At 44.3% G+C, this 26,285-nt stretch overlaps 1 protein-coding gene across 16 annotated transcripts in view, besides 2 other annotated features; it reads right to left on the bottom strand.

The window, feature by feature from the left end:
- TTLL4 (tubulin tyrosine ligase like 4) overlaps positions 1 to 26,285 on the bottom strand; it is a 48,890-nt gene that overhangs the window by 10,772 nt on the left and 11,833 nt on the right. For 4 of the 16 annotated variants that reach the window (XM_047446454.1, XM_006712875.3, XM_017005387.2 and 1 more), the window contains exons 2-13: positions 21,606 to 21,684; positions 9,790 to 11,374; positions 8,786 to 8,895; positions 8,369 to 8,432; positions 3,720 to 3,844; positions 3,152 to 3,262; positions 2,722 to 2,798; positions 1,759 to 1,950; positions 1,581 to 1,663; positions 1,228 to 1,356; positions 726 to 848; positions 19 to 117 (exon numbers count right to left, since the gene is read on the bottom strand). In XM_047446454.1, the coding sequence (XP_047302410.1) occupies positions 19 to 117; positions 726 to 848; positions 1,228 to 1,356; positions 1,581 to 1,663; positions 1,759 to 1,950; positions 2,722 to 2,798; positions 3,152 to 3,262; positions 3,720 to 3,844; positions 8,369 to 8,432; positions 8,786 to 8,895; positions 9,790 to 11,276 (2,600 nt within the window). In that variant the 5' untranslated portion in view covers positions 11,277 to 11,374; positions 21,606 to 21,684. Of the gene's footprint in view, positions 1 to 18; positions 118 to 725; positions 849 to 1,214; positions 1,357 to 1,580; positions 1,664 to 1,758; positions 1,951 to 2,721; positions 2,799 to 3,151; positions 3,263 to 3,719; positions 3,845 to 8,368; positions 8,433 to 8,785; positions 8,896 to 9,789; positions 11,375 to 20,885; positions 20,929 to 21,605; positions 21,685 to 26,285 lie in introns of those variants that run through there. The other 12 variants (XM_047446455.1, XM_017005388.2, XM_047446452.1 and 9 more) reach the window with 6 other exon arrangements.
- Positions 746 to 1,945: an enhancer, noted in NCBI's record as "BRD4-independent group 4 enhancer chr2:219611731-219612930 (GRCh37/hg19 assembly coordinates)". NCBI's record gives its function as "activates an origin of replication core promoter dependent on BRD2, P300/CBP, MED14 and CDK7 cofactors, and independent of BRD4, by STARR-seq in HCT116 cells {active_cell/tissue: HCT116}" and the evidence as "EXISTENCE:reporter gene assay evidence [ECO:0000049][PMID:35650434]".
- Positions 2,939 to 4,138: an enhancer, noted in NCBI's record as "MED14-independent group 3 enhancer chr2:219609538-219610737 (GRCh37/hg19 assembly coordinates)". NCBI's record gives its function as "activates an origin of replication core promoter dependent on BRD2, BRD4, P300/CBP and CDK7 cofactors, and independent of MED14, by STARR-seq in HCT116 cells {active_cell/tissue: HCT116}" and the evidence as "EXISTENCE:reporter gene assay evidence [ECO:0000049][PMID:35650434]".

Here is a 26,285-nt window from a genome sequence, read left to right as displayed (position 1 = left end):
GTTGGCAATGTGACTCACGAGATGATAGTTTTGACAACAACATCCTTTATCTTCTCCCAGATGGCGTCGCTATTGACTCCCTTCTGGCTCAGGTAGTTCCACAAAGCCTTCAGTGCCCTGCAGAGGAGGAAGAGGAAGTATTAGGAATTAAATTCTAGGAATGAGTGACAAAGACAAAGAAAAACGAAGAAGAGACCTAATGGTATTTTCTTCATATCTCTTCCTTTCGCAGTTTAAATTATGAAAGAGATGAACTTGGATGCAAATAGACCAATTCTTTTTTTTTTTTTTTTTTTTTGAGATGGAGTTTCACTCTTTCACACAGGCTGGAGTGAAGTGGCGCGATCTCAGCTCACTGCAACCTCCGTCCCCCAGGTTCAAGTGATTCTCCTGCCTCAACTTCCTGAGCAGCTGGGATTGTAGGCGCCTGCCACCACACCCAGCTAATTTTTGTATTTTTAGTAGACGCAGGGCTTCGCCATGTTGGCCAGGCTGGTCCTGTACTCCTGAACTCAGGTGATCCACCCACCTTGGCCTCCCAAAGTGCTAGGATTACAGGCGTGAGCCACCACATCCGGCCTCAAATAGACCAATTCTGAATTGGTAAGTGTTATCTCTGGGTCTTATATTAATCCTCCACTCGCCATGCCCCTGAACCTCCCAAAACCCCAGAACCCTGTATTCCTCTAGGCCTTCACTGGACTGGGACACTCTGCCCTCAGTACCATTTGTGGCCCTGGCAAGCCATTTCATCTGCATTGGCCTGGTACTCGGCATTCTTTTTATTGACACTGTAGTTGGTCAGGTGCATGAACTTATTGCCAAGGCTCTTCATGGAAGGCGAATACCTGGAAGTAAGGAAACAAAAGGCAGAGGTAAGATGGTAACAGAGCAGATGGAGAAGGGGCCAAACATTTCCCCAAATCCTGAAGAGGTGTAGAACAAGTACACAGATCTTTTCATAGCCACAAGAGCCTGAGAAGTGTGTCTACTGGCAAAGTTCTGAAAAACCACAGCTAAACTCATCTCCTTTATCCCACCTCAGTCCCGCATGCAGGAAGACCCTCCCCAGATTTAACGAAGTAGAGAGCCTCCATATTTCCCATTTCCTGCCTTTCCCCTTGCTAACAAAAACTATTTTTCTGTTTGGTGTCTTCTAGTTTCCCTCCCTCCAAGGAAAATAAAATCCCCAATATTGTCAGAGGATACCTCACCACTGTCACATACTTGCAACTGGCAAAGCGGACCAGTCCATCTGAAAAGAGGTAAATCCGCAGAGGATCGTAGGAAGTGACATAAACATAGATCCGCAGGTCAAACTTGCTGCCGCTGATGAGGTAGGGTTTGTGTAGATACCTACATAGGACAAAGGCCAGCTTCTCATACAGCCAGATGATGGGGCTCAGTGGGTAACCAAGCCACAGGAAAAGCCAGCTAACAGTCCCCAAGATAAAGACCTTAGAACAGTTGGCTAAGGAAGCTCTTTGGCTGGGAGAACAAAGGGCAGAACATTGTAAGAAGGGAACCTCGAGGCCAAGGAGGTGGGAGGATGGGGTAAGGGATATGTGCTACAGGCTCACCTCTGTACCAGGAGGGGCCTTCGCTTGGGGAGCTGACTCCACTTGTGAATAACCTGGATGCCAATGCCTCGAGCTGATGCTGGCTAGGAGCAGAAAGGAGATGAGATTTGCTCCAGGTCCAATACTCTGTTGTTCCCACTCACAGACCATAGTCTCCTGCCCACTGTGATTCACTCACTGGCTTCACAATCCACTTTTGGCGGCTGCTGCTCTCCCACGCTTTGCGCAGGAGCTTGGCGTCCTGGGGCAGGATAAAGGACTGGGGGAAGAAACTGAACTCCTTCTTGCCAAAGCGGCTCTGCATACGTGACAGGTTCCGCCATAGCCGGTCCTTCCTCCCAATCTGGAATGAGCCTGGGAAATGGTTTAGCTACAAAAGGGAAAAGGGTGAGTGCAGGAAGAGGGCAGAGGTGAGGCCATGAGGAAGATGACAAGACTCATTCTACCATTCCAACTTCTTTAGCAGCACTCCAAGCTTTTGTTCCATCTTACTATCACCACCCTAATGGTCCTCAAGTATCCAACTGCAGAGCACTCACCAAAAGATGATTAAAACACAGACAAAACAGAGTAATGTAAGCCAGATGTGATATTCACCTTAAGTGCAAAGAAAAAGCTATTACATCTTTATCCATGAAACCCTATGGGATGAGGACAGAAAAGCATTTCGCCTTTAGTAAGTCTGGAGGCAAGGGACTCATTCATTCCAATGTGAGACCAGAAGTCCTCTTTACACATATTCAGCTTGGGAGAATGGAATGTGCAGTGATCATAGGGAAACATAATAAACAGAAAACAGACAATCTAACTCAAGACACATTAGAGGAAAAAGCATCTTGGAGAAGCTGCAACTGCAGGATTTCAGAGTTACACCCTCCTATGAGGTTGGAGTTCAGGAGAGGGACTCAGCTGCCCCCTACATAGGCAAGAAACTCCAAGATACTGCAGCTGAACTGGAGATGTACGTGATCCACTGGAGTCTCTCACTGTACCCCCGTCCTGTACTTTCTCCTCTGTACACCTTCCTGACTTCTCCATGGTCATCATCCTCTTCCCGCCCCCTACCCCCTACTCACATCATCCCCCTCCTCTTGGCCTAGTCCAAAGTCCAGGGAAACAGCTCCTCAGAAAGGACCCCTACCTTCTGATGCTCTCGAATGGATCGGAAACTAGGAGACTTCATGTGGTGACCCCAGCAGCCCAGCCAGTCATCGTTTCCTATGGGAGGTACATCAGGAATCAGCCTTGCTAACAGCTCAGTCCAGGGACAGAGAGAGGCCCAGAGGCCCCAGAACTGGGCAGAGCTCCCAGACTTGGTTTTCAAAGAGTTGCTATGGAGCTGTCCTACATGAGGCCCTGGGGCCAGGGACAGAACAATGGCCCTCTGTCTCTCAATTCTGAACAACAGGCTCAGTCCAGGATTTCAGAGCTACACCCTCCTATGAGGTTGGATTTCAGGAGAGGGCCCCAGCTGCCCCGACATAGGCACGAGGTGTCTAGAGCTCTCCCCCTATGCAAAGCCCATCTATTTGGGGCAAAAGGACAGGCTCACAGTAAGGCAAGCAACTCACTTTTGCTGATTTTGAAGTGGGACCGTCCAATGGTCTGCTTGACAATGTTGGGGGTCACTGTGCTCATCTTCCATCGGAGCAACTTCCTCTGTTCCCAGGGAAGTTTCTCCACTGGGAAGAATGCAAGGGGTGTGGGGATGGGGGATGGAGAGGAGCAGAGAGTCATGATGAGAAGACAAAAAAGATGGCATGGCTGCCCATTCTTCCCTGGGCAGGCAAGTCACTAACTATTGCTCCAGATCAGGGTTTCAGAGGAGCACACTTTGGGAAAGAAGAGGGGCTGTGCAGGAATGAGGAACAAAGAAAGGGAAGACTGAAAGGGAAAAGCAACAAGGTTGAAGAGCATGAACTCAGCATGACATGGCAAGGCTGAAAAGGGTCAGCTAAAGGACAGACAAGAAAAAGGTTGCATCAGACCTACGACCACATGGGGAACTGAGCACAGTGTGACAACTGCCACAACAGCCATTCTGGAAACCCTCTCCTACCTACTGCCACCTCCTCCCAACTTAGCTAGCAACCTTCTCCCCGGGGGCTCTTCTGGGCTTTGACACTTGGCCAGGTTTACCTCTCTCATCCCGAGTGCCAAAATAGATGGTAGGGGGAACGTTGGGAAAGAGACTGTAGATGAGGGCTGGTCGGACAACTTTCTCATGATTGGAAAGGGGTTTGGTCAGAATTTCCATACAGCTTCTAAGACGAAAAACAAACATGGAGTAGAGAAAGGGAAAAAGCAACAGCCCTGAAGCGTCGTTACTACGACGTACGATTTATTTCCAAGTGCTGTCTTTTAACTTGTGATTCTAAAAAGCCAGGTGCTCAATAATTAATAATTATTTTGTACATATTAATCCATAAGGTACTAGGCTAACCTACATACAACCACACCATTAAATGTCACCTAAAGACAAGGTTTTCCAACACTTCATTCTGCAATACAGCTCCAAAATTTCCCGTGACAAGACATTGGCTGGGAAAGTCCCTGACAGGAGTAGTTCTGAGAGGGGAAATGAATGTGGGTGGATACCAGTAGCAGAACGTGCTATGCTAAGACAAAGAAATAAATGAGAGAAAAGAATGATGTAAAAATTACGAAGGAGGAAAACCAAACAAGATCTGAGGTGTAGAGACTTTTAAATAAAAAAAGGGGAAAAAGCAATAGAAAGAAAAGAAACAGTGATACTTCCAGTTCATTTTATATTTAGGTTCATCTAAAGATTCATGAACCATTAGTGCTTTTCTCCATTTTGGAAGTGATTTGTGACACTGTAATTTTATGTAACAGTATGGGAACACAGATATGGATGTGATGAAGAGATGTGGCTGATGTGGGACAGTGGGCCATGGGGGTCCCTACTGTTAATCCAACAAGGGCTTGGCCAAGGCTGTCTCAAGGGGTGTCAACATAGCAAACATATCAACTACCTGTCAGGTACAAGCTGAGAGACCAAGATCATTCCTTTAACTAGCACTGAAAAATGGAGAAAATAGCTATTACTCTTTACAACTTAGATAATATAATCCACGAATATTATTATAACATTAATTTTTAGTTTAAAAAAGTCACTTTACCTGTTATTATTTTCAGCACAACAGAAATAGGCACTGTATGTGAAACACTTCAGTGTTTTAACTCTTAAAGATTTTTAATGAATTTTATGGAATCAAGTTAAATACTAATTCCCAATGAAAAATTCTAATTAATTCAACTCTATTCCTCATTTTCAAACTTTTTCTTCAAAGGCTTTTGGTTTACTGAGTATGAGAATTTAAGATTGTTGAAAGTCAATAAGAATGAGTTAAAATTTAAAAACAAAGATAGAGGCCGGGTGCAGTGGCTCATGCCTGTAATCCCAGCACTTTGGGAGGCTGAGGCAGGCGGATCACCCGAGGTTGGGAGTTGGAGACCAGCCTGACCAACATGGGGAAACCCCGTCTCTACTAAAAATACAAAATTAGCCAGGCATGGTGGCGCATGCCTGTAGTCCCAGCTACTCGGGAGGCTGAGTCAGGAGAATTGCTTGAACCCAGGAGGCAGAAGTTGCAATGAGCCAAGATCACGCCATTGCACTCCGGCCTGGGTAACAAGAGCAAAACTCCATCTCAAAAAAACAAAAACAAAACAAAACAAAAAAGATAGAAACGTAAAATGGTACAGCCACTCTGGAAAACAATTTTGGCAGTTTCTTAAAAAAACTAAACATGTAACCACCATACAACCTAGCAATTGCACTCCTGGGCATTTATCCCAGAGAGATGAAGACTTCCATTGACAGAAAAATATGTACATGATTATTTATAGCAGCTTTATTCATAACAGCCAAAACCTGAAAACAACCCAAATATCCTTCAACAGGTGTACGGTTAAACAAACTGTGGTACATCCATACCACAGAACACTATCCAGCAATAAAAAAGAATGAGAACTATTAATACATGCAACAACCCCGGTCAGTCTCCAAAGAATATGCTGAATGAAAAAACGTCAATGTCAAAAGGTGACATACTGCTGTGATTCTATCTGTGTAACATTCTTGAAATGACAAAAAGGAGAACTAGTGGTTGCCAGGGGGTTAAGGAGGGGATGGGAGAGTAAGGGTAGGAGGAGGAGGAATTCCTACAGTGATGACAACGTTCTGTATCTTGTTTTTTTTTTTGAGACAGAGTCTTGCTCTTGTCACCCAGGCTGGGGTGCAGTGGCACGATACCGGCTCACTGCAACCTCTGCCTCCCAGGTTCATGTGATTCTCCTGCCTCAGCCTCCCGAGTAGCTGGGATTATAGGCGCCCACCATCACGCCCAGCTAATTTTTGTATTTTTAGTAAAATATGTTGTATTTTAGTAAAACATGGGGTTTCACCATGTTGGCCAGGCTGGTCTCAAACTCCTGACTTCAACTCATCTACCTGCCTCAGCCTCCCAAAGTGCTGGGGTTACAGGCGTGAGCTACTGCACCCGGCAAGATGTTCTATATCTTGACTCTAACAATGTTAACAACATCCCAAGTGTACTATATTGTACTTCTGCAAGATGTTACCCAATGGGGGAAACTGAGTAGACAGTACAGGGGACCTCTCTGCATTCTTTCTTACAACTGCATGTGAAATCTATAATTATCTCAATATCACAAGCTTAATTTAAAAAACAAACAAAAAACCCTTGTGAGTTGTCTCACAAGAATCCTGAACTTCTCCTCAAGAGACCTGGCTTCTAGTCTAGCCATGCTAGAAACTATGACCTTGGAACAGCTGCTTCACTTCTCTGGTCCTCAATATTTACACTGGACTTGATGGCTTCCATCTCTAAAATTACATGATTCTTAGAGCACAACAACAGGAAATGCAATGAAAGTACTGCTGTGTAAAGAAACAGGTAGTGTTTCCAATGATTTTTCTGTTTTTCAGTGGTTGCCAAATTTTCCATAATATACAAATGTTTCATAATAGAGAAAAAATAAGATTTTAGCAATCCAAAAGTATTTTACTCATCTTTAAAATGCAAAGTGGTTTGGAATTCATCTATCTCCATTTTTGGTCAGGTGCAATGGCTCAGACCACTAATCTCAGTGCTTTGGGAGGCTAAAGCAAGAGGATTACTTGAGGCCAGAGTTCAAGACAAGCCTGGGTAATATAATGAGACCTTCCCCCACAACTCTACAAAAAAAATTTTTTTTAATTAGCTGGGTGTGGTGGGTGGTCCTGTAGTCCCAGCTGCTCAGGAGGCTGAGGCAGGAGTATTGCTTGAGCCCAGGAGTTCGAGGTTACAGTAAGCTATGATGGATCCACTGCACTCTAGCCTGGGCAACAGAGCAAGACTCTGACTCTAAAAAATAAAAATATATATTTCCATTTTCTTGAAAATTATGTTTAAGCCTCATATAGAGAAAAAGTTATGTGCAATTTGTAGAAGTTAATTAATTAATGAGCAAATGATTAACAAACACCTTTTGTGAATTTTATCTTATATATCAGGAAGGCTAAAGGGTTGTGTAGCAGTCCTGAAGTAGGCCCTTAAGTGTAAAAAAGGTAGGACTCCAAATCAATTACATGTCAAATATCTTTCTCCTATGAAGAGTGGAGGTACTTAATCAATATCCAATATATATAACCTGAAGTAGTTCTGCTTTTCTGGAAGGAGGATGGGTTGGGCTGAAAGTGACAATTTATGCATCAGACTCAGGGTGCCCGTGATGGGATTTCTATCCACCTTCACAGAGAATCCCAGTTCTCGCTCCCACTTTCCAAACAGCTCTGTCTCCACCTTGCAGGTTAGGGGCTCTAAAATTGGTGTGCTGCTGCCACACCATAACATTTCACAGAGATGCAGCCTGTCTTGTCCATGCTAAACGAGGCAGAGAAGGCTCACTTTCTTCTTAGCTTCATCTAAGGCAGGGTTGATGCAAAGAAAAACAACCCGACTCTGGGTGCTCCATATATTGGTCAAGCCCAGTGATATACAGGTTTTAATTAAAAGTTAGGGCCAGGTGCAGTGGCTCAGCCCTATAATCCGAGCACTTTGGGAGGCCAACGATTACAGGTGTGTGCCACCATACCCAGCTAATTGTTTCCATTTTTAGTAGAGATGGGGTTTCACCACGTTAGCCAGCCTGGTCTCTAACTCCTGGCCTCAAGTGATCCACCCATCTTAGTCTCCCAAAGTGTTAGGATTACAGGCATAAGCCACTGCGCCCAGCCCATTATACTGTTGTTGTTGTTGTTGTTTTGTTTTTGAGACAAAGTCTTGCTCCATCACCCAGGCTGGAGTGCAGCAGCGCGATCTCAGCTCACTGCAACCTCCACTTCCCAGGTTCAAGTGATTCTCGTGCCTCAGCCTCCCGAGCAGCTGGGATTACAGGTGTGCACCACCATACCTTGCTAATTTTTATATTTTTAGTAGAGACAGGGTTTTGCCATGTTGGCTTGGCTAGTCTCGAACTCCTGACCTCAGGAGATCCGCCTGCCTCAGCTTCCAAAGTGCTGGGGTTACAGGTGTGAGCCACTGCGCCTGGCCCATGATACTGTTTTTAAGCCCCACAGATGAGATGTGCTTCTGGCCCCCCATTACTCCCTGTTCAAAAACTAAAGTCGCAAACATAAAAATTTGGTAAAAATGCATTAGAGTTCTCCAGGCCATTAATGACTTGAGTGGTTTATCTCTTTATAATCTTTAAGAGACAAAAGATGAGCATGTAACAATGATCTATACAGCCACACTTACCTAGAGATCATGGCCACCGATTCGCTGGGGGAGACAGCACTTAATGAGGAGCACTCTGAGTCTCCTAGAGGAAGGAAGAACAGAGAAATTCTGACTAGAAGAGGCTGCAGCACAAACTTACCAAGCCTAGGCAACTCTTCCTTGAATATCCTGGGCTCAACCCTTCTTGGGGAGCCACAAGCACCACCCCGCTGCTTTGCACTGCCTTCCTCAACAGAAGCAGCGGGAAGGTAAGACCAGTGGGACAGGAGGACTAGAGACCCAAGTCCTCTAGAAGGCACTACCCCCACTTAAGACCCCCAAAGCAAATGACTGATGTAGGTAATGTGAGTCAAGGACCTAGTACACAATTGTCAGCCCCCTGCCCAACAGGTCATAACCAACTCCTAGTTGGAAGTGAAAGGGTTTCCTACTCACCCTCCTCCTCTTCATTCTCATCACGGCTACAACAGTCTTCCAAACCATCTACTAGTTCTTCTTCTGTATCTTCAGTCTCAGCCTGATCTGGCTGGAGGTCAGTAGCTGAACTAAAAGAAAGAATCATGCCCCCAGCCTAGTCAACTCCATCAAAGAGGTCACAGTTAGATTCTCATTCCTTCATCATCTCCCAGTATTTGCCCCTTCTCCATTACCAATCTGCTACTTCTTGCCTGGACCTCACAACTCATTTCTTTTGTCTTCAAAGCTTAGGTCTAGGCATAGCTCCTCAACCTTACATCTCCCATTCTGCAAAGAGGCACTATGTTTTCCATTTTCTTTGGTGTCCCTCATAGCATATAAGTACAACATTCTACATCTAAAAAACCATCAATGGATATCTGGTAATTGACTTGAAATGTCCCTAGGCCACTCTCTGGGAACTCAGAAAAAGGCCTTAGTGGACCAAGTTCCCAGGAAAATAACAAAACACAACAGAAGGAGCCAACTATGTGTGTGCCCTAACTATAAATGGCTGTCATGCCAAGAATGACTGAGAACCTCATTTGGTTTGGAAAAAGTAGGAAAGTCACAGGCTTCAACATTTGGTGCTCACAATTCTTATTTCTCTCCTGGTTTTTACTTAAAATAGGGGTTGGCGAACTCTTTCTCTAAAGGACCAGAGAGTAAATATTTTTGTTTGCAGGCCAGTCGGTTTATCACAACTACTCAGCTCTACCATCGTAACAAGAAAGCAGCCACAGACAACTGCAAATGAATGGACAAGGCTGCATTCCAACAAAACTTTATTTACAAAAGCAGGCAACAAGCAAGATTTGGTCTGCAAGCTATAGTTTCCCAACCCTTGCCCTGAAGTGAAAACCAAAAATTCTAGGGCAGCTAAAAAATAAAACCAACCTTCAGAGGTACAGGGTCGGTGCCACCCCAAATTATGGTATATACATTCTACTGCTCTAAATGAACCAAAAACATTGCCAACATACCTAATATCCCTATCAGATGAGTCCAGCTCCCTGGCCTCCTCAGGTCTCTCCTTCTCAGACTGGCCCAGCTGGATGGAAGAGAGGCGGGTGGCCACGTTGGCTATGCCAAGAGTTTGAGGAAAAGGGGGACCTGGAGCTTTGCCTTCTCCAAATGCTGAGGAGTCAATTACAGATTCACAGGCAGGGTTGTGATTGAGCCCACTGGCATGTGAGGCAAGGAGGTGAATGCTGATACGCTTGGTACAGAAGACTGTATTGTCCAACCCCAAGGTATCTGAGGCACCAGGGAGGACCCGCCTGACCGATCCAGCATCCTCCTGAGGAAACTGCTGATTTACCGCAGGAGGTTTCCACCGCCTGCTCCTGTTGAGGACATTCCACTGGAAGCTGGGGTTCAGGAAACTAGACTGTTCAAGCTGGCAGCCTTGCCTCGGCATCTTCTCAAAGCCTCTTGCGGTCAATTTCCTCACGGCCTCAGTGAACCGAATCTCCTTAGTTGGATCCTGGGAATCAGAGCTGTCATCCAGAGCACAGGAAAGTGGCTCTGCCCTCATGGCTAAGTTATTCCGGTTATACCAGGAAGAGGCAACACTGGTGGTGGATGTGTCGTGGGAGCTAGCGGTAGACAAGGCGATATGGGCACTGGCATCAGCTGGGACAGTGCCAATGCTTTTGGGCACCTTATGGTCAACAGGCTGCGGTGCACAGTCTCCAGTACCCCCTGAATGATGCCAGGAGACAGGCTGGATCTTGGGTGGCGATACTGGCTTCAGGCCCTGTGTGGTCTGCAATAAAGGCACTGGCGTGCTATTTGGCCACATGAAGGAATTATTATTCAGCATGGGCTTATAGGAGGAAGAGAGTGGAGATGGGATCTTCCCTGAGATGGCAGAGGCCAGGCTCTTCCCTGAAGGGTTTTCCCCAGCCGCTGCCAAGCAGAGGTATGGTTCTGTGGATGAGGAGGCCATGGGCTGGGCCATGGAGAAGACCATGGAAGAAGTGGCCTTGTTGGCAGTGAGACTGACAGGGAGGCTCTTTTGAGGGAGAGAAAAAGGGCTTTTTTCTGACGGGCTCGAACGCAAGCAGAAAGACTCCAGTTGCTGGTACGGTTTTTGCCTATAGCTGGAGCGGCGGTATAGCAGGGTGCTGTTGAACAAGTCCGGGAGAGAGTGTAGGTAACAGGAACTGCTGTGGCCTGCAATGACAGCCGTGGTCCCAGAGCTACATAAAGTGCTGGGGCAAAAGAAATATGCTGGCTGGGGTGGGACGCCCAAGAGGCCTGGGCCCAACCCTGCTGACAGTGTCTCCACTTGCTTCTTTTCCAGCTTCCAGATTGGCTTCACTTGCTGATGGGCCTGAGGCCAGACTCTGCCCTCCGAGGGTTTCTCAGGTGGCGTGGCAGGTACTGTGCCTGAGGGACCACTCTGCTTGAAGCTGTTTTTCTGGCGGAGGCCAATACTATAGTGCTGTGTTCCTGCTGAGGCCATGAGGGGCCCACATCATGGCCACACGGTCTCATGGCCTTGCTGAGGTAAGGTGCCACACACCTCCGGTAGTAGCAGCTGCATCCTTGAAGTCTGTCAGTCTGAAGTGGAGAGAAATGATAGGAAATGTTACAGTGCCAGGAGAACGGACACCATGCTACAGTGGTCCTCAGGTAAGCAGTACAGTCCCACTTCAGCATTTTTGGGCAACCAGTCTTGGTCGTCATTTGGGGCACTGGGAGAAGAACACCAGATTTCCAGGGAGTTTTCAATGATCTTCCTACTGCCCTCATAGGATCAAAGCTGGCTTCATTACGGACTAAAACACTGAGGTGCCACCACCACTGTGAAGCTGCTTATGAGTCCCCACTCTGTCACTCAGAAAGCTTTCCTCTCTCTCCAACAAAAAATACATCTTTCTGTCTCACCGCCCACAACTTTCCATGAGGGGCTACCTTCCCTCACCCAAAACCAGTGTGGCTAGGAATAAAGCAAATCTGAAGTGAGAGAGAGGACTCAGTATCTTCCTTCTCATAAATCAATTCTGAAAGATTAAAGATTATTTGAGTCCAGGTGAGGCAGCTCACACCTGTAATCCCAGCTTGAGCCCAGGAGTTCAAGACCAACCTGCCCAACATGGCAAAACCCCGTCACTACCAAAAATTAGCTAGGCATTGTGGCGTGCACCTGAAGTCCCAGCTACTGGGGAGGCTGAGGTGGGAGGATCGCTTGAGCCTGGGAGGCAGAGGTTGCAGTGAGCTGAGCTGGTGTCACTGTACTCCAGCATGGGCAACAGAGTGAGACCCCATCTCAGAAAAAAAAAAAAAAAAGACGATCTGAAAAACTCATTTTACATCTACTGCTCCCTAAATCAACTCAGCTGCCTCTGATTTAGTCTGCTTTTCATGGTTAAATAGGACAAGTTCAGACAGGAGAAGAGAATTCCCTTGCTGATCCCGGAGTTTATTCTGGAGCTGAGACAGCAATTTCATCTCTGCTAACTATACAGATTTAAATTCCATCCTGTGTGTTGGTGGGAAAAAGAAGAAAGGAAATTGAACTAAACACCAGCATTATTTTTACTTAAAGTGACTTTATTTCCAGCAGCCATACTGGGACAGGAGAGTTCAGGGAGTAAGAAGAGGACAGAAGCTTTCTTTACTCCAAAGCCCAGGCTTAAGTTTGGGCTGATCTCAGGGAGGAAGAGCCTGTCTCTTTTGCATCTTCTCAATCAGTGTTTCCTTTAATACAAAACCTGTAAGCCAGCCTTCTGGGTCTCAAACTGTTCAGCATGGTCACTTACTTTCTAAATCAAATTCACAAAATATTCTCCAGTAAGGAAAGGTGGGCCTGCTTTCATGGCAGCATCTGGGGGAAATAACAAAAACTGTAAAAAGTCATTCGTGGCCAGGTGCAATGGCTCACACCTGTAATCCCAGCACTTTAGGAGGCTGAGGCAGGCAGATCACTTGAGCTCAGGAGTTTGAGACCATACTGGGCAACATCGCAAAACCCCGTCTCTACAAAAAATACAAAAATCAGCCAGGTATGGTGGCGCATGCCTGTGGTCCCAGCTACCTGGGAAGCTGAGGTATGAAAAACGCTTGAGCATGGAAGGTGGAAGTTGCAGCAAACCAAGATAGCACCACTGCTCTCCAGCCTGGGTGACAGAGTGAGACCCTGTCTCACAAAAAAAAAAAAAAAAAAAAAAAGGCTGGGCACGGTGGCTACATCTGTAATCCCAGCACTTTGGGAGGCCAAGGCAGGTGGATCACGAGGTCAGGAGTTCAAGACCAGCCTGGCCAGCATGGTGAAACGCTCTCTACTAAAAATACAAAAATTAGCCATGCACGGAGGAGGGTGCCTGTAATCCCAGCTACTTGGGAGCCTGAGGCAGGAGAATCGCTTGACCTCGGGAGGCGGAGGTTGCAGTGAGCCGAGATCGCGCCATCGCACTCCAGCCTGGGTGACAGAGTGAGACTCTGTCTCAAAAAAAAAAAAAGGAGTCATTTGTCTGGGATAATTCTGAATGGAATCCTGACATTCTCATCAAGTGTGTTTTCAGAGTAGCTAGAGGGAAGGAATTTGCAGAGAGGTTTTGTTTTGTTTTGAGGGTCTTGCTCTGTCACCCAAACTGGAATGCAGTGGCACAAACATGGCTCACTGCAGCCTCAGACTCCTGGACTCAAATGATCCTCCCCCTTCAGCCTCCCAAATAGCTGGGACCACAGGCATGCATCACCACACACAGTTGATTTTTTTAAATTTTTTTATTAAGATAGGGAGTGGCGGTATCTCACTATGCTGCCCAGGCTGGTCTCGACTCCTGGCCTCAAGCGATCCTCCTCTCTCAGCCTCCCAATAAACTGGGATTACAAGCCTGAGCCACTGAACCCAGCCCTAGGAGAGATGGTTTTTTCGCTTAAGTTATATTTAAAATGCAAAAATGGGGAGAGTACCTTGTATTCTGATTAACAGTGTAATGGCCAAGGAAGAACTAAGATTCCTGTCTACAGCCACGAATGAATACCACCAACAAACACTGCAGAAGCCATGGGATATCGCCCTCTTTACCTGCAAAGGCTGACCTACATGGACTCTTTCTCAAGGGGAGTACAAAAAATCACAATGCAGCACTGCCAATATTCAAAATGATAATGAGCTAAAAACAGCATAAATGCTAAAACTGGATTTTGAGGCCAGTCACCTCAAAATGAGGTTACAGAAAATGGACCACCACACAAATCCAAACTATGGAAATACCGTGCTTGGAACAATTACAGCGTGTGTTTGTGGTAGAGAAGCATAGAGACAAAGGGAAAAGTCAAATCCTGCCATTCACTTTACGAGACTACAAGCACGCATGCATGTGTATTAAGTACACTCAAAATAATTCATAATCCCGTCACTTAATCCTCTTTCGGGAAGCCACATTTTCCCCACCAATGCAACACAACAGACATACCAAAGTGGTAGGAGAATGCCTAGGGAAATGAAAACTCAGGCTGGTCCCCCTGAAAAACAGCCCCACTATTGATTCCCACGTGCATCATGCTAGCTCAGCTCTTCATTCCCTTACAAGTGCTGTTCCTGGAGCCCTTTCTTCTTCTTCACCCAACTTAAAAAATCAGCTGCAACATGACCTAGGCAGTCTTCCCTGACTCCTGAGTTTGAACAGGATGCCTCACCTCTGCGCATGCCACCATCACTGCTCACAGAACATTAGCTTCAACAATGAACTAACTCATCACACTAGGAGCAAGGAGCACATTCTCCTCCAGCTGATGTCCCCAACACAGTGACTGATACACAGGAAGTGCTCAATATTCTGTTGAGTAAACAAACTGGAAAAGCACAGTAAATGAAGGGGAAACAAACTTGAATACTAGTTTGGGCACCTAATGAATGTCTGGTACCATGCTAGGCATTTTATCCATATTATCTCATTTAATCCTAAAAAAAACCTTACATTCAGTTTACTGATGATGAATCCAAGACTCAGAAAAGTTAAGTAACTTTCCTATAATTAAATAACCAATAAGTAGCAGTGCCTAGATTAAAACTCAAATCTGTCTGAGTCTACAATGCCTATTAAACAGAATGAAACACATATTTAGACTCCATCCCCTCCATTATCTTTAATCTTTAGGTACCAGACAAAAGCCAGGTTGGAAACACTCCTCCATGTTTATACCAAGGCCCTTTGTGGAAAGTCCCTAAAAGCACATCACTGACTTCTCATCAACACCACAGCCAATCCCACTCTCCCTTGTAGCCACAGGCACTCACTGCACAACACTTCCTTTTGCACACACATTGCTCAATGTTTGCCTTGCTACATCCCACCACATGAACCCTCAGTGCCAAGCACATGAACACAAATAGCCCAACACCCAGCTGGCTTGGCTTTTAATCCAAAAGAGGAAGAGGGAGGACAAGGATACATGCCTACCCTCCTCAGAAGCTGCAGGTGGCCTGCTCCCAGACAAAGTGTTAAACAACACACCTGGGCAGGTACTAGAGTAGAGTGGATTCTCTTCTCTCTAAGGTATTCCAGATCTCATATCTCTGCAATGGTCATTTCCCACTTCTTGTCTCCTCTCATAGTCCCTATATGGTTTGCATTTGTGTCCCCACCAAATCTCATGTTGAGTTGTAATCCCCAATGTTGGAGGAGGTGACTGGATCATGGAGGCGGATTTCCCCCTTGCTGTTCTCATGATAGTGAGTTCTCATGAGATCTGGTTGTTTAAAAGTGTGTAGCACCACCCTGCTTTCTCTCTCTCCTGCTCTGGCCATGTGAAGACGTGCCTGCTTCCCCTTCCGCCACAACTGAATGTTTCCTGAGGCCTCCGCAGCCATGCTACCCATACAGCCTGCAGAACCATGAGCCAATTAAACCTCTTTTCTTTATAAATCACCCAGTCTCAGGTATTTCTTTATAGCAGTACGAGAACGAACTAATACAGTCCCCATGATGTGTAGTATAGCAAGTTGGATAAGGGCCACTGTCTTCCTAAAGAAATATGTCTGGACTCAAGGGCCAAGCAGGTGAGAGGATGTTTCTGTAACTCTCTTTCTGGGAAATAGCTCCAAAGTTAGTAAGAGATATCCAAGGTTGGATAAGATGGCTGTGTTAGGAATTACCAAGCAAAGACAAATTTGTTGCATCAGATACTCTGCAGAGAGTAACTTCAAGAATGCCAAGTAAACAGTATCACTCACGACAGTATCACATACAAATGCTCCAACCTAGTTTCAGTGTTTGAGGTTCAGAAGTAGTGTCACGTTAAGACAGGGAAATGATGGTTGCTAAAAACAACTTCCTTCCTTCTCCTTATAGAGATTCCTGATGAGATCAAAACCTCAAATGGTTGGGAGGCAGAGGCCTAACTAAAGCATTCAGGCAGCTTGGGTCCCAGACCCCCAATCACTGCCACAGGTCATCTTTTCCCGCATCCTGCCCACTGCCCTACAGGAATGCAAGTGACAAACTTTAAAAAGCTTCTGAAGACCCAAAATCTAAGAAGTGAAGGAAGTGAGAACCTTGTTTTAAAAGCTAACATAGTGAGTTCTGCCATAAAGTCAAAGTCCAGAGAGGCAAATAATGTCTGGCACCCAGACCCTACCGACAGCACATACTCGAAGGGCAATTTTCAGCAAAGTCATCAAGCCCATTCCCTGTGATATACTCTGCCCTCCTACGATGACACCTGGAAGACCTTTCTCCCAGTGTCCCTTATATTTCTAAGTGTACTGTGATAATGCACACTTTGTGTATATGTGCGCCTCTAGGATCCAAAAGGCAGACTGCTCATCTCCCAGGAAGTATTTTAGGAAGAAACATCAAAAGAAAGACAACAGGAGAAAAGGTATTTACATATGTAGAAGGCTATGTACTGGCTACTACTGGAAGCCCATTTCAAAAACTCCCAACTTAAACAAATCTAAACTTATAAAGAGTAATTGCTGACTATGTAAATTATAAAGGATTAACTACATATTTATACTACTTAAAGATAGCTCAAGACATTCATACTTACTCTCTGTTACTAAGTCCAAAGGATCTACCATCAGCTGACCCTCCAATCAGCAGCTTGCAAGGAACTTACTTTAGGGGCCAATAAATTGACCTCACCTGAAAAATGATATTTTGAATAATCTAACATTTTATGGAGCAATGATCTAATGTGTTTCTTGTTCCTACACAGGATCCCTAGGGAACAGGAGGGCTTAAGGGGCAAACAGGGTATAAACACTAAGCTATAGCAGGCAGAGTTCAAGTTTAGAAGAAAACAAGCCTATTTCTGTAGCTAAATTCCTCAATCTAGGTCCTCCTCACAGCCAGGCTGCATGAGCAGCTACGGCCTTGTGGTGACTCATGACAATCAGAGCACTGATCAGTAGTGAATCACATGCAACTCTGAAACCGCACAGCTGGAATGTTCAGGGAAAGACAAGAGAAAGGAAGTACCATACCCCGACTGAAGTTGTGGGAGGTGAAGTTTAAAAATTCGCATAAAGCACACAAAAAGCACAGTGGCTCCCAGTAAACGTTTGCAGCAAGGTAGTTACAACTCTCATTCTCACTGGCACCAAATGATCTATCTCCCCTCTGCCCCTTCATAAGCTGTGATGAAGGCAGAAAAATACAAGGAATAGGCAACAATTATTCCACTACAAAACTTCAGCGAGGACAAGCAATGTTCTTTTGTAAAACAGAACCGTCTTGTTATTTGGGAGCTTTTGTGAAATTTTTTTTTTTTTTGGAAACAGAGTCTCACTCTGTTGCCCACGCTGGAGTGTAGTGGTACAATCTTGGCTCACTGCAACCTCTGCCTCCCGGGTTCAAGTGATTCTCCTGCCTCAGCCTTCCAAGTAGCTGGGATTACAGGCACCCGCCACGACGCCTGGCTAATTTTTGTATTTTTAGTAGAGATGGGGTTTCACTATGTTGACTAGGCTGGCCTCGAACTCCTGACCTCAAGTGATCCACCCACCTCGGCCTCTCAAAGTGCTGGGATTACAGGTGTGAGCCACCGTGCCCAGCCAATTCTTTTTTTTTTTTTAGACAAGGTCTCCCTCTGTCACCAAGGCTGGAGTGCAGCGGTGTAGTCATAACTCACTGCAGCCTAGGACTCCTGGGCTCAAACCATCTGCCCACCTCAGTCTCCTGAGTAGCTAGGACTACCAGTATACACCACCATGCCTAGCTAATTTTTTACTTTATTTTATTTTTATAGCAATAGAGTTCCACTATGTTGCCCAGGCTGGTCTCAAACTCTGTCCTCAAATGATCCTCCTGCCTTGGCCTCCCAAAGCTCTGGGATTATAGGCATGAGCCACCACACCCGGCATGGTGGTGCACACCTGTAACAGATAGTATTTTAAATACTATCTGTTAATAAAAGCAGCCAGAGCTCCTTGAAAAATGGCTGATTCCAAGGTTGGGGCAGGGAGAGCAGGAGATGGGAATGGAATATTTTGTGCTGCCAAAAAGTAAGGAAGTGGTCAAAATTTGATAGAGACATGTCAAAAGACCATAGATACAGCTAACATCATACTTAATAGTCAATTATGAGATGCTTTTCCTCTGAGATTAGGAATAAGACAAGGATGTCCACTCTCTCCATTTCTTTTTTATTTTATTTATTTATTTATTTATTTACTTTGAGACAGCGTCTCGCTCTGTTGCCCAGGCTGGAGTGCAGTGGCATGATCTCAGCTCACTGCAACCTCCCCCTCCCAGGTTCAAGTGGTTGTTCTGCCTCAGCCTCCCGAGTAGCTGGGGCTACAGGCACGCGCCACCACACCCAGCTAATTTTTTTTCTTTTTTTTTTTTTTTTTTTTTTTTTTTTTTTTTTTTTTGGATTTTTAGTAAAGATGGGGTTTCACCATATTGGCCAGGCTGGTCTCAAACTCCTGACCTCGTGATCTGCCCACCTCGGCCTCCCAAAGTACTGGGATTACAGGCATGAGCCACCATGCCTAACCTCCATTTCTATTAGACCCTATACTAGAAATTCTAAGCAGTTTGACATGGCAAGAAAAAGAAATCAAAGATACACAGATTGGAAAGGAAGAAGTAAAACTGTCATTATTTGTAGGACATATGATCTTGTACATAGAAAATCCTGGCTGGGCACATTGGCTCACGCCTGTAATCCCAATACTTTAGGAAGATGAAATAGAAGGATCACTTAAGACCATGAGTTTGAGAACAGCCTGAGCAATATAGGGAGACATTATCTCTACAAAAAATTTTAAAAATTAGCACAAGCCTGTAGTCCCAGCTACTGAGGAGGCTGAAGTGGGAGGATCACTTGAGCCTGGGAGGTCGAAGCTGCAATGTGCCATGATCACACCACTGAACTTCAGCCTGGGTGACAGAATAAGATCCTGTTTTTTTTTTTTTTGTTTTTTTTTTTTTTAAAAAGAGAGAGAAAAGAAAATCCTAAAACATTTATCAAATAAAAAATCCTACTAGAACTAATAACCAAGTTTAGTAAGGTCACAGAATACACAATCAATACACGAAAGTTAGTTTTAGTTCTACATACTAGCAACAAACAAACAACATGTAAAAATGAAATACACAATTCCATTCACAACAGCACCAAAAAGAATAAAGTATCTAAGAATAGGGACTTCTGGTTCCAAAATGGCAGTGTAGAAGCAAGCTGGCTTCACTCTTCCTCACAGAAAACCAAACACAAATACACAGCACCAAGATTATCACCAGTAAAATCCCAGAACTCAAGTATGAAGAGGAGACCGTTCCTGGGACCACAGAGAAGGGAAAAAATTCTGACAAGGTGGTAAGAAAACTGGACTTCCACATCTGCAGCATCCCCTCCCTCAATCTTCCTGGGACCAAGGACATAGAAAACCTGCCCCCAACTCACAATTTCTAAAGTGGAAAAAGTGATATCAAGATAGACAACCAGGTTGGGCGCAGTGGCTCACGTCTGTAATCCCAGCACTTTGGGAGGCCGAGGCAGACGGATCACCTGAGGCCAGGAGTTCGAGACCAGCCTGGCCAACATGGCGAAACCCCGTCTCTACTAAAAATATAAAAAATTAACCGGGCATGGTGGTGGGCATCCATAATCCCAGCTACTTGGGAGGCTGAGGCAGGAGCATCTCTTGAACCTGGGAGGTGGAGGCTACAGTGAGCCGAGATCATGCCATTGCATTCCAGCCTGGGCAACAAGAACAAAACTATGCCCCCCCCCGCCAAAAAAAAAAAAAAAAAAAATAGACCACCAGCTTCCCTGTCCATGCCTCAACCCACAGAAAGCATCAAGAGTGCCTGAAGAGAGAAACATCCCTAAAGACAGACAGAAACAAAGCAAGGTGGGACTACCATATTCAGCCCTGGACTCTCTGCTCTGTAACTCAGCCAAAGGAGATACCAAATCAGAGTGGCTGTTCAGCAGCACTTCTCTCTATAGGAGGTATGTTCTACAGGTCTCCTGGGCACAAATCCCTAGTCAGCCTTCCCACATTGCCAGGATATTCCTTTTGGGACCTCTACCATTTGGGACCTCCTCCATTTGCGAAGGGCAGTGCTCCAAAGCAGGGTCCCCAACTCTTGGGCCACAGATTGGTACTGGTCCATGGCCTGTTAGGAAACCAGGCCACACAGCAGGAGCTGAGCATTGGGCAAGCGGGCATTACCACTTAGGTAAGCATTACCACCTGAGATCCACCTCCTATAGGCTCAGCGGCAACATTAGATTCTCATAGGAGCGCTCACCCTATTATGAACTGCCCATGTAAGGGATCTAGGTTGCATGCTTCTTATGAGAATCTAATGCCTGATGATCTGTCACTATCTTCCATCACCCCCAGATGGGACCATCTAGTTTCAGGAAAACAAGCCCAGGGCTCCCACTGATTCTACATTATGGTGAGTTATATAATTATTTCATTATATATTACAATGTATTTACAGAAATAGAGTGCACAAAAAATTTAATGTGCTTGAATCATCCCCAAACCATCGCCTCCCCCACCCACCCACCCCAGTCAGTGGAAAAATTGTCTTCCACAAAACTGGTCTCTGGGGCCAAAAAGGTTGGGGAACACTGCGCTAAAGCCAAGACAAACCTGGGGCCAAGATGCCATCTAGTGTTGAAAAAGAGGTAGTGACCTAGTGATTTAAAAAAAAGATAAGTCAACAGGTTAAGTTACAAAAAATCTCTAAACAAACATATCCAATAACAAGCCAGACAGAGAAGACTGGAATAAATAATCCTTCAGTGTAAAGACATACACATATATCCACAAGAAATAACAGCAAACAGAGAACTATGACAAAGCAAGAAATGGACAAAGCAAGAAAACAGTGACTAACTCTAATGAGGCAGTAATACATGAGCTCTCTAACCAGGAACTCAGAATAGCAGGGTTTTTTTGTTTGTTTTTTTTTGAGACAGAGTCTCACTTTGTCTGTCGCCCAGGCTGGAGTGCAGTGGTGTGAACTTGGCTCACTGCAAGCTCCACCTCCTGGGTTCACACCATTATCCTGCCTCAGCCTCAGCCTCCTGAGTAGCTGGGACTACAGGCGCCCGCCACCATGCCCAGCTAATTTTTTTATTTTTAGCAAAGACAGGGTTTCACCGTGTTAGCCAGGATGATCTCGATCTCCTGACCTTGTGATCCACCCCCCTTGGCCTCCCAAACAAAATAGCAGTTATAAGGAAACTTGGTGATCTCCAAGATAACACAGAAAAGCAAATTCAGAAATTTATCAGAGAAATTTAACAAAGAGATTGTTAATAATAATTTTTAAAACAAATCTTAGAACTGAGAAATAAATTTGCTTACCTGAAAAATTTACTAGAGGCTCTCAACAGCACAATGGATCAAGCAGAGGAAAATATCAGTGAGCTTGAAGACAGTCTATCTGAAAATACACAAAGGAGAAAAAAGAAAACAGAATGAAAAGCAACAAAGATAACCTATAAGATACAGAAAACTACCTCAAAAGACCAAATCTAACAATTACTGGTATTCAAGAGGGAGCTAAACAAGCTACAGGGGTGGCTTACTAAAAGAAATTAGCAGTCTGGGCACAGTGGCTCACACCTGTAATCCCAGCACTTTGGGAGGCCGAGGTGGGTGGATCATTTGAGGTCTGGAGCTTGAGACCTGCCTGACCAACATGGTGAAACCCCATCTCTATTAAAAGTACAAAAATTAGCCAGCATGGTGGTGCACACCTGTAATCCCAGCTACAGGCTACAGGAGGCTGAGGCAGGACAATCACTTGAACCCGGGAGGCAAAGGTTGCAGTGAGCTGAGATTGCATCACTACACTCCAGCCTGGGCGACAGACTGAGACTCCATCTCAAAAAAAAAAGAAAGAAAGAAACTAGTTACTGGTCTATAAGAAATTTCACAAAAGAGGCCAGGCGTGGTGGCTCACGCCTATAATCCCAGCACTTTGGGAGGCTGAGGCAGGTGGATCACTTGAGGCCAGGAGTTCGAGACCAGCCTGGCCAAGACAGTGAAACCCCATTTCTACTAAAACCAGAAAAAATTAGCTGGATGTGGTGGCACACGCCTGTAATCCCAGCTATTTATGAGGCTGAGGCATAAGAATCGCTTGAACCCGGGAGGCAGAGGTTGCAGTGAGCTGAGATCGTGCCACTGCACTCCAGCCTGGGCCTGACAGACTGAGACTCTGTCTCGGAAAAAAAATAAACAACAGAAAACTTTTCAAAACTTGAGAGAGATACATATATCCAAGTCCAAGAAGATCAGGGAACACCAAACAGATTCAACCCAAATAAGACTACCCCTAGGCATATAATAATTAAACCTCTCAAGGTTCAAGGGCAAACAATATTTTAAAAGGAGCAAGAGAAAAGAAGCAAATACATATAAGGGAGCTCCAATTCATCTGGCAACAAAATTCTCCTCGGAAATTATCCAAGTGAGAGAGTGAAACATTTCAAACTGCTGAAAAAAACTACCCTCCAAGAATACTGTATCCAGCAAAACTACCCTTCAAATATGAGAGATAGTCTTTCCCAGATAAACAAAAGCTGAAAGAATTCACTACCACCAGACCCGTCTTAAAAGTAATGCTAAAGATAGTTCTTCAATTTGAAGGGGAAAAAAAAATTAACATGCAAAAAGAAAACATTTGAAGGCATAAAATCCACTAGTAAAATTAGGTAAATGGACAAACTCAAACAGTCTAATACCCTAATTATGATATGCAATCTAATCATAACTCTAGTATGAAGCCCAAAAGACAAACTTGTCAAAAATAATAATAGCTACAGCAACTTCTTAAGAAATAGGCAAATAAGGCTGGGCATGGTGGCTCACATCTGTAATCCCAGCACCTTGGGAGGCTGAGGCGGGCAGACCACTTGAGGCCAGGAGTTCAAGACCAGCCTGGCCAACACGGTGAAACCCCATCTCTACTAAAAATACAAAAATTAGCCAGGTGTGGTGGCATGTGCCTATAATCCCAGCTACTTGGGAGGCTGAGGCAGGAGAATTGCTTGAACCCAGGAGGTGGAGGTTGCGGTGAGCCGAGATCACGCCACTACACCCCAGCATGGACGACAGCGTAAGACTTTGTCTCCAAAAAAAAAAGGCAATATAAAAAATATGTAAATTGAGACACAAATAGTTAAAACGCATGGAGGACAGAGTTAAAGTGTAGAATGTTTTTATGGTTCTTTATTTGTTCACTTCTATTTTTTGGAGTTCAAGACCAACCTGGGAAACATAGTGAGATCCTATCTCTACAAAAAAAAAACCATAAAAAATTAGCTAGGCATGATGGCACATGCCTGTAATCCCAGCTACTTGGGAGGCTAAGGTAGGAAAAGCGCTTGAGCCCAGGAGATGGAGGCTGTGGTGAGCTGTGAATACACCACTGCATTCCACGCTAGGGGACACAGCAAGATTCTGTCTCAAACAAAAAAAGTTATCATCTCTTAAAATGACTTGTTCTAGGGTGGGCGCAGTGGCTCATGCTTGCACTTTGGGAGGCCAAGGTGGGAGGATCGTTTGAGCCCAGGAGTTCAAGACCAGCCTGGGAAACATAGCAAGACCCATCTTTACAAATAATAATAAAAAATAAAAATTAGCTGGGTGTGGTGGCATGTGCCTATGGTCCCAGCTAGTCGGGGAGCTGAAGTAGAAGGATCGCCTGAGCCCAAGAAGTCGAGACTGCAGTGAGCCATGATCACGCCACTGCACTCCAGCCTGGATGACAGAGTGAAACCCTGTCTCAATAAAAAATAAAATACGAAAATAAAATAAGTATAAGCTGTTTTTTATAAGTCTCACAATAACCACAGATAACCACAAAAACCTGTAATAAATCCACTAAAAATAAAAAGCAATTAATTAAACCATACTACTAGAAAAAAACTACAAAAACAGTAAGAAAGAGGAGTTACAAAGAAACCACAAATCAAGCAGCAAAATGGCAGTAGTAAGTCCTTACTTATCAATAACAACACTGAATGTAAATGGACTATGAATAAAGGAAATGTGGTATATATACACAATGGAATATTATGGAGCCATAAACAAAGAATGAACTCCCATCATTTGCAGCAACATGTATGGAACTAGAGGTCATTATATAAAGTAAAATAAGCCAAGCACAGAAAGACAAATACGGCATGTTCTCACTCATAAGTGGGAGTTTAAAAAAGTGGATTTCAGAATATAGAGAACAGATTGGTGGTTAACAGAGGCCAGGAAGAGTAGGGGGAAGGGTAGGCCTGTTTCAGGTAATGGAGCAAGAAGTAAGTCCATTTGCTTGAGTCATTCACTGTTAAAATCTATTTCTACCAGTATAATTTCAAAGAAAAGTTGAAGTTGATTGGTGTGCTACCTGCCTTCTGGTCTGAGGAAAACCAAACTTCCCTTTAAGTAGTAATGAGGTTTAAAAAAATTTTTTTTTAATTTTGCAATTATCTCAGACTTGCAAAAAGTTACAAAAATAGTACAAAGAATTCCTGTTTACTCTTTCCCCAGATTCATCAAATGTTAATACTTTACCACACTTGTTTTATTATTCATTCATATTCTCTCTCACATATATCTCTGTGTGAACTGGTTTTTGAAATGTTTGAGCATAAGTTGCAGACATGATACCCCTTTGCATCTGAATACTTCCTAAAAACTTCCTAAATGTTTGCTAAAACCAGGATATTCTCTTATATTCAAAAAATTAGCATTGATAATACTATAAACTATATTACTATTATCTAATACACAGATCTTATCCAAATATTGCCAACTGTCCCATCAATGTCCTTTATCTGGCCCAGGATCACAAGTTGTATTCACCTTCATATCTTTTTAGTCTCCTTTAATCTGTAATAGTTCCTCAGCCTTTATTTTTCTTTAATGAGCTTGACACTTCTGAAGAATACAGACCAGTTATTCTAAAGAATGAAACTCAATTTGGCCTTGTCTGAAGTGATGATATATCCTTAGTTGCATCTTATGATGAGGCCCATGTCAATTTGTACTATTACTAATGATGATATTATGTGCTTCATGATATGATGCACTTAAGGATATATCATCACTTCTGCAATTTCCAAACAAAAATGCATCATCTTGAATGTGTATTTGCACCCATTAATCAACCTCTCTCAATGGCCAGTGAATTTGTAAACTCTGGCTCAAGGGGAGTTCAAGGGAAGGCATATTACTCAAGCCTGGCAGATAAAGTTTAATGGAAGCACTTTCTCTAGGACCCATCAACATACAAGCTGGTAGGAGGTCTCCAATACTTAGAGGGAAAATGCTATTTAAATGTGATTCTGTGTAAAACCTCACATCCCAATAAAACACAAGTCCTTGTTGTGCCCTCAACTGAGAAAACAGTTGCTGTCAGCACCCAGCTGAGAAACAGGAACCTAGAGGCTGAGATAAGGATTTTAGGGCTAGAGTCAAAGAAACAAGGAGGGCACTGTGGCAAGCTCAAGGGTTCTATAACCACTGTTATTCAAAAGAAAAGAACATGTTATCTGTTAATCTCCTTGAAAGTAAGGTGGGAATGTCAGATTCTAACCAAGTCATGCTAGGGGAAAGTGAGAGAAGAACAGATCAATCACATTCCCCTCTTGTCCAATTAATCTTTCAGAGTCAGGGCCAAGAAATAAGCTGTAATTGCACAAAGAAGACTTCAATAAAAAATATTCAGGCAGAAGGAGCTTAGTCCCTGGACAGGCCTCCATACAACACAGAAACTCCCGACATGCCTGTCATAATGATGCTTTCACCCTGACCTCAGCAGATCTTCAATTCCACTTAATCCATCAACAAGTCCTTCCAGCTTCAAATATATGTCTTTGAATCTGGCTATTCTTCCCCATTTCCACTGTCATTACCTTAGTCAAGCTACCATCATCTCTCAACTGCTGATTTACTGGCTTCTATATCATCTATTTTCCAGACAGTGGCTACTTTTTCAAAACACAGTACTCTTTTTAAAACACAGCTTAAGATCATCTGATG

Source organism: Homo sapiens, chromosome 2, assembly GCF_000001405.40.
Source record: "Homo sapiens chromosome 2, GRCh38.p14 Primary Assembly".
Taxonomy (NCBI): Eukaryota; Metazoa; Chordata; class Mammalia; order Primates; family Hominidae; genus Homo; species Homo sapiens.
The sequence above is the reverse complement of the archived record's forward strand: the minus strand, read 5'-3'. Positions and strand labels throughout refer to the sequence as shown.